This window comes from Homo sapiens, chromosome 7 (assembly GCF_000001405.40).
Source record: "Homo sapiens chromosome 7, GRCh38.p14 Primary Assembly".
NCBI lineage: Eukaryota > Metazoa > Chordata > Mammalia > Primates > Hominidae > Homo > Homo sapiens.
Genome location: NC_000007.14, coordinates 35,608,789 through 35,620,658, shown reverse-complemented (window position 1 = coordinate 35,620,658; position 11,870 = coordinate 35,608,789). Strand labels below are relative to the sequence as shown.

The window sequence follows — 11,870 nt, the reverse complement described above, 5'->3', positions numbered from 1 at the left end:
TAATCCACCTGCCTCAGCCTCCCAAAGTGCTGGGATTACAGGCGTGAGCCACCGCGCCCGGCCAGCATCAGTTTTCTTTGTGCATCTTTTCCACAATCCTCTCACTGCAGATGTTTTCAGTCTTTCCCTCTGCTTGGTATACTTTTCTCTACTTATAGCTTCTTAGTAACCGCTGCCTGTTATGATCCTTCATCCTCCCATTTCTGCCTCATGTCTTGGTTCTATGCATTTTTCCAGTTTCAGCCCTGTTGTTGACTGCTGGATTCCTATCTGTGTTTCCAAGTTAAAATTCTCAAAAGAAGGAACCTGACTGTCTCAACACAAAGTTTCTTGCTAGACAATATCATGTGTCAAAAGTCAGCATATTGACGGGTTGCCTGGGCTTAGTGTCAACGCAGTTCCATCACCTGCTGCCTGAGAGTGAGGTGGGATCAGTTGCCAGGCTCATTTGGTCCTGCCCCTTCAGCAGAGGCTTTAGCATCAGTTGTCTTTAGAAGAGGCTGTGGGTACCAAGGCTGGCCTTCTGCTTCGTGGCTTGGTGGGGAGGAACAGAGCAAGAGTAGTTAGAGATCCCTGAATAGGATCAGGAGTGCCCAGTACTAATAAAGCCAATATTTGTACAACACTCTAACATTTGCTAAGCACTATAAAGTCATGATCTCATTTTGTGCATACCTGGGAAACACTTATTCTACTATAGTGTGATTGCCTCTTTCCTTGGGTCTCTCTTACAAGCAGACCACAGGGACCCTGAAGGCAGGAACTATGTCCTGTTATTGTGATATCCTTAGCACCAACTCTACAGATAATATTCTAGAAATATTTATTAAATGTAAGAATTAAACAATAACATGTCTTCAAGGTGGACAGCTGTTATTACTGTTTTACAACTGAGGAAACTGAGTTTCAGTTAAGTAATGAGAAGTAATTTGAATAAAAGACTGGGTTCCTTGTAGCCCAGTCCTTTTACAAAGTTGTGTTCAGAGAGAAGTGTTTGACTCTCTCTTTTTTCCTGTCATCCTGTACTTCCCGCCATTTTTCTTTCCCATGCCAGTCACTGCTGGGGCTTCTGGGCCCTCTGGGTACTCTGAACCCCTCTAGAATGACGAAGAGTCCTCGCTTACTCCTGTCAAAGGGCAGAGGGCAACAGTCCCTTGGTAATACTTTAGCCACCTTCGCTTGTTTTTTTGTGAGAAACCTCCACAGAATAAAAGTCTTCCACCTAATTAAATTGGCTGATATCTGGTAGATTTATAATGGAAATAGAATCTTCATATCCTAGGCTGGAATAAGGGTTAGAGGCAGATCTGAGGTGGATCGGGGATGCTGTTTCAGTTCTAAATACGATGAGTTGGAGGCAAAAGGGAGGAACAGCGGAAGACAGACTTCCAGGAGGAGGGGTCCAGGTTTGGATGCTGGACTGGAACCTGAGAGATGGATTGTATAGGGCACGGATGTGGAGGTTTCAGAGAAGTAGCAACTAAAATTGGTGCCACAGATGAGGTAACTGGTAAGTAATTTAAAAGATTATTATTCAATGTCAAAACCATCATGATAATTATGGATTAAAACGGAAAATTAGCATGTGTAATTAAGTCACACACAAAGACCTCAGAGAACTTTAGTTTTTGCCGGAGGGCATTTTGTACCCCAGACTCTTAGGAAAACATAATCACATGCTTCTCTGTTAGGCATGCGTGTGTGTGTGTGTGTGTGTGTGCGTGTGTGTGTGTGTGTAGATATATACTTGCTTCCCTTTGCTGTCATTTTCTTGTTTTGTGCCCACTAAACTGTGTCCTTACTTTTTCTCCATAGTGCCCACCAGGTTACCTTGTTCATGGAGGGCATCCATATGTGGAAAGATGCTCATTGCAGCTTTACTAATAGTAGTGAAAAATGAAAAACAATATAAAGTATCTTTAAAAAGGGCATGGTATGGTAAAATAGGATGTATCCACTCTGTATTAGTCCATTTTCAGATTGCTACAAGGAAATACCCGAGACTGGGTAATTTATAAAGAAAAGAGATTTAATTGACTCACAGTTCTGCATGCCTGGGGAGGCCTCAGGAAACTTACAATCATGGTGGAAGGCACCTCTTCACAGGGCAGCAGGAGAGACAATGAGAGCCAGCAGGGGAAATGCCAGACACTTATAAAACCATCAGATCTCGTGAGAACTCACTATCATGAGAACAGCATGGGGAAACCACCCCATGATTCAATTACTTCCCACTGGGTCCCTCCCACAACACATGGGGATTATGGGGATTATAATCCAAGATGAGATTTGGGTGGGGACACAGCCAAACCATAGTACACTCAATGGAATGTCATGCTGCCATTCTATGATGGTTGTAAAAAACATGTTGCAAACTCAAAAATGCCTATGTATTTTCTCAAAAAACGTACCTGTCACGCACCATTTCTTAAGAAGCTGCTGGACGGTATGTTTCTGGCAGAAAGAATGACAATAGAAAAGGCCGTCAGGACTCCAGACATTGGAGTTATGAGTTACAACTTTAAAATAATGAAAGCTCCCTATGTTCAAAGAATAACAAATGATAAAGAGTAAACCAAGGAATAAAGAGCTGGGGGCACTGGAATCTGGAGATTCAAAGCAGGAGAGAGGTGAAGGAAACCCATAGGCTGATGATGAAGGGAGCTCCCAGGCTGGTGGCCAACAGTGGAGCTGGAAGGCAGCCTCTGTGAGTTGAGGGCCATCATCGCAAGATCCCTGCTGTCTTAGTACTGTCTGTGAGACCCGAGGAAGAATGCCTGGGGGAGGCTGGTCCTGTTTCTTCTCTTGGCTCAGTGCTATTAAAGCTACTGCTCTCCCCTTGATGCTTGGGTTAGCTCTGAACTCCTCCTGAGGGCTGACAGAGGAGCGCTGTGAATTTAGAAGAAAATGCCGAGCAGCCTCCTCCCTCCGAAGCTCTTTCTGACAGGTGTCTAGTAGGTGGTTCAAATTATAGTTCTGTCTGATGCTCCAGATGTGTTAATTTATGGTTTCCATGACTTAGCCATAACCTTGCCTGCAGACATCCCTAGAAAGGGCTCTCATAGATTCTCAGGGAAGCGGAAGCCAGCCTGTGATGCCCATTTTTCCACCTTCTCTTCTGTTGGGAACCCTTGTAGAATAGCGTTGATATTTTCCTTCTCTTACACAGACTTGTGCTTCCTAGGCAATTTTTACAACACTATTTAAAGAAAAGCAAGGGAGTGACTAACACAGAAGGCAGGAAGGGGTTATCTGTCGGGGATAAGGACACTGTGGCAGAGGCAATGTGTGATGGACAGTATTGTTCAGACATAAAGGAGGCCACATTTCCAACCCCCTTTAGAGTTAAGTCGAGGCCGTGTGGCAGCTCTTACCAAAGAAGGCAGAGATGTGTCACTCCTTGAGAAAGGCAGTTAAAAGCAGATGTAAGTTCTCTGTGTCCTCTCTTATTTATTCTACTTAACTAAAAGCAAAAATTCCAAGGTGGTGAAATGATGAGTCTTAAATTACTGTTAAGACTCTTAACAGTCCTAAATTTGTTCCAGAGCTTGTGTTTCAATGGGGCCAGAGCCAGGGTCTTAAATTACTGTTGGAGGTGGCAAGGACAGCTCCTGAGCCTGCATGGACCGTGATGTGAGAGGGACATCAATGTATGTGTGTGTGTGTTTTACATCAATGACATTTTGAGATCTGTCTGTAGCTGCTGTGATACACTAATGCAGGCACAAGAGGGGCTGCTAATGTGGTCATAATATTCTATTTCTTAAACTGGATAGTGGGTACATGGGTGTTAATTTTATTATTATTATTATTATTTTGAGACAAAGTCTTGCTCTATCACCCAGGCTGGAGTGCAGTGGCACAATCTTGGCTCACTGCAACCTCTGCCTTCTGGGTTCAAGTGATTATCCTGTCTCAGCCTCCTGAGTAGCTGAGATTACAGGCATGTGTCAACACGCCCGGCTTATTTTTGCATTTTTAGTAGACACGGGGTTTCTCCAAGTTGGCCAGGCTGGTCTTGAACACCTGACCTCAGGTGATCTGCCCACCCTGGGCCTCCCAAAGTGCTGGGATTACAGGTGTGAACCACTGTGCCCGGCCATTATTATTCTTTAAACCATATAATTTTTATATACTTTTCTGTATGTACTGTACATTTCATAATAAATATTTAAAGTCAGTCTCTTATGTACATTGTGACCACCTGAAACTGCAAGTTCATTGATCTTTTTCACTTTGGTCCAGCTGACAGTATATGTGGGAACATAAAGTCGAACAGTGTTTTGGAAAAGCTATTTCACAGCATATCTCAAAAACCTAAGTATTCTCCTTTATCCAGCAGTTCCACTTAGAAGAGCTGAATCTAAGGAAATAATCCTAAATATCAGAAAAGCTTTTTACATAAGGACGCTTATTGCACCATTATTAACAGTAGTTAAAAAATGGAAGGAAAAGACCATGGTTTATTGAAATAGAGTGTATCGACTCGATGGAGTGCCATGCAATATTTCTAATTGATGTTTGTAGAAACAATGTTATAACCTCAAAAATGTACATGACAGATGAGCAAGAACAGGATACAGGATTGTGTCTCTTGGGTGATTATAGCTATGTAAAAAATGTATGAAACAAAGAACTCTGTGCCTGACATCTGCAAAGCCTGTCCTATGCCTAACTGTTCTTTGAATCATTACTTTAAAATACAGTAATTTAGGCATAATCCAGTGTATATACTTTATGTCTAGGAGGAAAAATTCAAACGTGTTTGAAGTTGTATATGAGATTCTTTTCTTCTTCCAGATTAGGCTTTTAAATTCAAACATAGATTTAATAAATCTGACTTGGTTCAGCAATACAGTTGGAACAATTGAACACATTTGTATGTGAGGATGGAGGAGGGAAGAATGAAAAGGAGGGATTGGGAAGGGGATGGGGACAAAGTTCATAGAAGCACAGTGGCTAGACCTGTAACTCATGGCAGTGGCCAGCTATTTGTCCAATGAGCAGGAAATGGCCTCTAAAGTTTCTCCATTGTGTCTATGACCTTGCATTTCAGCATCTGAAAAGAAAACACAAGAGGTTCGGTTGGTGCAATGTTCCTTTCTTCCCAGGACTTTCTGGTCTTCAAGGCTTTCTCATGAGACAGAAGACTGATGGATGTAGAAGTTTCTAAGAGGACAGGTAAGTCTGTCTTCCCCAGATCCTCCTCTTTCCCACTGAAAGACCAAACCACCATGGTCAGTTCAAGCCTTCACTGTTCATTGTTTCCTCTCCAGTTACGCTGCCATGTTTTGAAGCAGGAAGACGTTACCACTTCTCAAAGGTCTTTAATTGCCTGACCACTGCTTCTCTTTGGAAGGCTGTCAGGGTGATGGAATCTCAGATCACAGCACAGATAAAATGGACAAAGAAAGAAAGATACAAGAAGGATGTAAAAATGTCCATAATGAACTCATGTATCTTGCGGAAACCTCTAATCTAATGAGAATGGATTTTGTTGAGAAGATTGTACACCAACAATTAATTATTCATGGCAGAGACATCATTAAGATTTCATTTTGTTTAAAGGCCTCTAAGTGACTTAGGAAATTAGGTTAAGCTAGAGAAGAATTTCAAGAAAGAGACAAGGGAAAGCTTTTCGTTATATTGACTTTTTCTAATATTTTCCAGATAGATATTTTGACTTGGTACATAAATTATACTCTGACTAAAAATCTCCAATGATTTGTCTGAGTAAGAGTCTTCACATGGGTGGATCATATACCAGTGTGGTCAGATGGAAGCAGATGGACAGAGATTTGTGAAAGGATTAGGAGGTTCATTCCAGAATTCTATAATAATTCAATTTGGCTTTTTGGTTAGGAATGTAGTGAGGAGTCTCCTTGAAATGACAATGGGATTTGTGCAACCTGTGACATTTTGCACTCAAGGATCCTTTTCCCAGTGCCCTATGGGATGTGAGCACCTGTTCACTTACAGTACATGTAAGATAAGACACTTTTAATAAAAACTCTGGAGACCTGGTGTAGTATAGGCCCTATGCCTGCTTATCTTAAAGACAAACACCAGAAACTGGTGTCACGTTGTGAGTTCAATGTGAGATTGATTCAAAACATAAAGCTAGAGATCTAGTGTAAATTTTCAGAGGGATATTGATTACAGGATCAATTTCTATGGGCAATTAATGCAGGGGTTTGGTTTATGTTTGAATTCCAAGCACCCAGTGGTATTCAAAAATAGCATCCAATTTTACATAAAATGTAAAATTACATTTTGTGTTCGATTTGGGCACCCTGTCATGATTTACAATAAAGGTTTGGGCTTTTGTTTTCTTGTTCCTTCATTAGAAAGGTTAGAACTTGCCTTTCCTCCATGATCACTATTCCAGTGTCCCGGGTGCTTGGGATTCAAAACTAAACTAAAATTTCTTAGTGGTTGAGAAATGTTAAGGTTGAAATAGTAGATCAGGCCATGTCTGCATGGAGAACATCACAGCAACTGAGAACTGCAATAGAAGAGGCTTGGTAAAGGGAGAATCTCTTCCCTGTTTGTGAATTAAATAGTCCTGTAACACCTTTAGGGTAATAAAGAATTAGGGTTGGCGCCCTGCACCTACACGGCTAGAGTTGGGGAGAAAATAGACCTCCAGATGTGGAGCCAGGAAGACCTGGGTTGAGTTTTTAGCTGTGTCCTGGGCCAACAACCACAGCAGCAGCAACACCCACCACATGCACCGGTCTCCATCTGCCTCAAAGAACTACACACTGTAGTAGAGGGAAAGAGTCAATAATCAATAAATGCACCAAATAAGTAAATTATGTAAATTTATATAAAAGAGTCAATAAATAGTAAGTGCAAAAAATAAGTAAATAAGTACATCTATTATGGTAAAAAGTGATCATTGCTATAGAAAAAAATAGAGGTGTGCCTAATAATTTATTTATGAAAATCTGCTTTAACATTTTTCGGAAAGCTGTCTCCTGGAAAAACAAGTAGTCTCTTAACTTTATACATTTCCAGGACAAAATATTATAACCACTGCTTAACTGATGGTGATATCAAGTCAAAATGTATGCAGCTTTTATACAATGGCAGCTCTAATTTCCAGCAGCACAGAAATTCTCCCAGTGATTCCCTTATTTTAATATCACAGCTAACCACCTATTTATGTGTTTCTTTATCTCAGCCTCTCTGTACCTCTGTGTTACGTGGAGAGACGAGATGGCATGTTGTTTATGTAGCTTGATACATACCATAGCCAGAATTCCAGAACACAGTTTACATACTTTACAGTTAAATGTTTAGGCCTCAAGAACAGGAATCAAATACTTTGCTTTCAACACTGCTTCCTTCATGAGAAGGAGAAATCTCATCCCTGAGGGTGGCTCCAGGGCCCTGGCCCCAGTAAAACACAAGCCCTGGAACAAAGCAGAGGCCTGGGTAGAAGGAATTGTTTGCTCTGTTAGCTTAGCTTGAGGCCAAATAGAGGGAATTTGTTTTCAAGCCAGACAGGTGCACTTGAGGGTACAGAAAGGAGACTGGCATTTGGGATTGAGCCTCAGGATGGGTCCATCTTGACCTGTTTTTTTTTTTTTTTCAACTGATTAGTCAATCATGGCTTGTTGCTTCTTAAGTCCTAAGAATTTTAGAATTCAGGCAGCCAGTAATGGTTTACAATAAAGACTTGGCACTTTGGGAGGCCGAGGCAGGTGGATCACCTGAGGTCAGCAGTTTGAGACTAGCCTGGCCAAGATGGGGAAACCTCATCTCTACTAAAAATAAAAAAAATTAGCGGGGAGTGGTGGCGGGTGCCGGTAGTCCCAGCTACTCGGGAGGCTGAGGCAGGAGAATGGCGTGAACCCGGGAGGCGGAGCTTGCAGTGAGCCAAGACTGCGCCACTGCACTCCAGCCTGGGCGACAGAGCGCAACTCCATCTCAAAAAAAAAAAAAAAAAAAAAAAAAGGTGAACAGTAGCTTTTTTTTTTTTTTTTTTTTTTAAGACAGAGTTTCGCTCTTGTTGCCCAGGCTGGAGTGCAATGGCACCTTCTCAGCTCACCATGACCTCTGCCTCCCAGGTTCAAGAGATTCTCCTGCCTCAGCTTCCCAAGTAGCTGAGATTACAGGGTTGCGCCACCACGCCTGGCTAATTTTGTATTTTTAGTAGAGACAGGGTTTCTCCATGTTGGTCAGGCTGGTCTCAAACTCCCGACCTCAGGTGACCTGCCCACCCCGGCCTCCCAAAGTATTGGGATTACAGGCATGAGCCACTGTGCCTGGCCAATAGTAATTTTAAACAACAGCCAAGGAAGCTAGAGCTACAAACTCTTTCGTTCCCTATAGAAACTAAAGGTAACATCTTCACATATGTCTTTGAGTTGTTTTTTATAAACCTGGACCCCCAGCAAATGGAAAATGCCATCTGCCGGCCTGTAGACCTCAGATAAGGGGGAACAAGGACTGAACTCTGCCTGCCACTTATTCTAAATTTCTTCCTGAGGTGCCCAGAGGAAGTCATGCCCACAGGCCAGAGCTCAACATTCCTTTTGACTGACCCCAAGTTTTTAAACAAAGCTTAATCAATCACAAGTCAGGAAATCTTTGAATTCACCTATGACCTTTAGTCCTCCCAACCCCGTTTCAGGATGTCCTGCCTTTTTTAGGCCAAGCCAATGTATAGCTTCATTTTGTTGATTGATGACTTTGCCTGTAACCTCTGCCTTCCTGTCTATATTAGGCAGTTCTTGCATTGCTATAAAGTAATACCTGTGACTGGTAATTTATAAAGAAAAGAGGTTTAATTGGTTCACAGTTCTGCAGGCTGTGCAGGAAGCATGATGCTGGCATCTGCTTGGCTTCTCAGGTGGCCTCAGGAAGCTTACAGTCATGGTGGAATGTGAAAGGGGGGCAGGTACCTCACATGGCAAAAGCAGGAGAGAGAGAGAGAGAGAGATTGAGAGAGAGGGATTGGTGGGGGTAGGTGCCACACACCATTAAAGAACCAGATCTCATGTGAACTCAGGGCGAGAGCTCACTCAGCACCAAGGGGATGGCCCAAGCCATTCATGAGAAATCTACCCCTACAATCCAGTCACCTCCCACCAGGCCCCACCTCCAATACCTGGGATTATAATTCAACATGAGATTTGGGCAGGGAGAAATATACAAACTATATCACTGCCTTAGAAAAACCCTTATCTGTCAGCCAGTGGGGAGTTCTGGTGTTAAGCATGAGCTGCCCAATTCTCCTTGCTTGGCGCTTTGCAATAAATGCCTCACTTTTTCTTGCCGTAAATCCTGATATCAGTGTTTGGCTTTGCTGTGCCAGGTAGCTGGGCCCAAGTTCTGTTTGGCAATATTCTCATCTGGTTCCTTCCTCTCGTGCTCAACACCTCGCAGTGGCTTCCATTCCACGTGGAGTAAAAGCCAAAGCTCCCCTATGCACCTCTCTGACCTACCCCCAATCATGCCCTCTCCTCAGCCCCTCCTCTCCAGCCACCCTACCCTCCTGCTGGTTCCTGAACACCTTTGGCAGGCTCCCACCTCAGGGTTCAGGACCTACTCTTATTTCCCTGAGCTTTCCTCCGCACACACCCACCCCTACATTTCTCTATTTACCCGAGTCCCCATCACCATCTAGGAGACTGTATGTTTTACTTGCAGATTACATTTAGTGCTTAATCCATGGCTCTCCCTGCTAGTGATGTCGCTGTGGTCTTTTATTTGCTGATGTATCTCCAGTGTTTAGATCAGTGCCTGGTACAAAGTAGATGCTCAATAAATATTTGCTGAGTGAATGAGTGACTTTTGTGACTTCATCAATCATCTTTGAATTAATCTGGGACCTGGAATCTTATGAGCTCAAGAACATGGCTGGGAGAGGCCTGGGATCATGAGCATTCTTTAGGCACCACCTCCACTACTGCGGGTGGAGCCCAGGTACTCGGCCTATGTTTTGGCACTGTTGTTTAAGTAAGCTCACAGCAAGCTAATTGTAGGGACATTCCCTGTCAACTGCTGGCCTGGCCACAGGACTCCTCATGGCTGTTCTCAAGGTAGAGGGCTTAGGTTCCAGCCTTTTTTAGGTTCCCATGCAGCTGTGTCCATCTGGGGTCTGGTCACCTCTGGGAGGCTCCTGTCAGAGACCTACAATATGGAGAAGGGAGGAGCCCTGTTTCCTGGAGGAGGAAGGGCCCCCAGGCCTGTCCCTCTCAGCCTGGCTGCTGTGAGAATCCCCCAGAGACTTAAAAAAATAACCTGTCTGGGCCCCACCGTAGGCCAAATGAAATTGGAATCTCTGGGGATAGAGCCTGGTAATAGGTATGTATTTCAACTTTCTAGATTATTTTAAATGCAGCCAGGATTCACATCAAGTGTCCTAGGACAAAGGCCTCCTGGGAGAAAACACATGTCCTTCTTCTCCTCCCAAAGGCAGCCAGAAAGGATAAAGAAATGAGCAAACAAGGCACTAATTTCTTCATTTCTCAATGTCTAAGCCTGTTGTCGAAAAGATGCAGAAGATACCATTTTGCTTATTTCCTTAATTAAATCCTTAGGTTAAAATTTTAGATTTGAAGTTACAGGATATTTTGAGACTTAAAAAAAAAGTCACAATTTCACTAGAAGTGAAAAAGGTTGTGATTATTTGGGCCCTTTCAATTCTGGAAATTTTCAGTTTAAAAATCTTTCTCCATTTGGTAGATGAACATGTAGTTTTTCATGTCTGCGATACATATTTCTTGAGTGTTTCCTATATGCCATTACTCCATTGGACAGTGTTACTTTAATTTGAAAGTGTGTCGCTCTTCATTGAGATTCAGCATATTTTCATATACCTGGTAGCTAATTATAATTCCTTTTTTTTTTTGAGACGGAGCCTTGCTCTGTTGCCCAGGCTGGAATGCAGTGGCGCAATCTCAGCTCACTGCAACCTCCACTTTCCAGGTTCAAGCGATTCTCCTGCCTCAGCCTCCCAAGTGGCTGGGACTACAGGTACGTGCCACCATACTTGGCTAATTTTTTTTATTTTTAGTAGAGACAGGGTTTCACCATGTTAGCCAGGATGGCCTCCGTCTCCTGACCTCAAGTGATCCACCGCCTCGGCCTCCCAATTCTTTTGTGTAAAGCTCACTCTAGCTGTGGTGAGAGTGGATGGTTGGAGGGGGAGGGGGCCAGAACGGCAGACAGATATGTCCAGAGGCCATTGCAGTGGTGCAAGTGTGAGAAGTGGGGACCATGAGAAGGGGTTAGGTTTGGGATGTATTGCAGAGGTGGGGCTAACAGCATTTGCTGATGGATTGCATGTGAGCTATGAGGGGAATCAAGGATGACTTGGAGGCTTTCAGGCTGAGCAACTGAGTGGGCTGTGGCCTTACTTTCTGAGCTGGAGAAGGCAGGAGCCTGAGGTATAGTGGCTGGGAAGAGGGGGTGGTGGCTGGTCTTCCTCTGCTGGAAGCTCAGGAATGCTGGGCCAAGTTTCCAGGCCTGCCCGTCTTAGGGGCTGGGAGATATGTGCTGTGTTGTGGACGCTGGTTCAGGGGATCAGTCTCTCTCTGCCGGTAAGGAGGGACTCACAGCAGCAGAAGCCTGTTCTTTCCACAGCCCAAGACACTATCTTTCGTATATGTTTTGTGAAGATTTTTCCCTGCTTCTCTATTTTCTGATTTTTAAAAGTGAATCTTATAAGCATTTTTCTTTATTTAAATACATACAAATTATACATTTAAAATAGAACATGGCATGATGGAAAAGTATAAAGATTTGCTAATTTATGTCTATACTCTTGGACTTGTATGACATTTCTAAATCTTTATAAATATATGTTGCAATGAACATTTTTGTGTATATGTGTGTGCTTATATATTTGCTAAATT

General features: G+C 43.1%; 1 long non-coding RNA gene across 6 annotated transcripts in view; it reads left to right on the top strand.

Moving 5' to 3' along the window:
* Positions 1-11,870, top strand: part of LOC101928421 (uncharacterized) — a 37,633-nt gene that overhangs the window by 10,967 nt on the left and 14,796 nt on the right. For 4 of the 6 annotated variants that reach the window (XR_001745169.3, XR_927172.4, XR_242157.5 and 1 more), the window contains 2 exons: positions 5,057-5,181; positions 5,277-9,794. This is a non-coding gene — a long non-coding RNA (uncharacterized LOC101928421). Of the gene's footprint in view, positions 1-5,056; positions 5,182-5,276; positions 9,795-10,867; positions 10,990-11,870 lie in introns of those variants that run through there. The other 2 variants (XR_007060285.1, XR_007060284.1) reach the window with 1 other exon arrangement.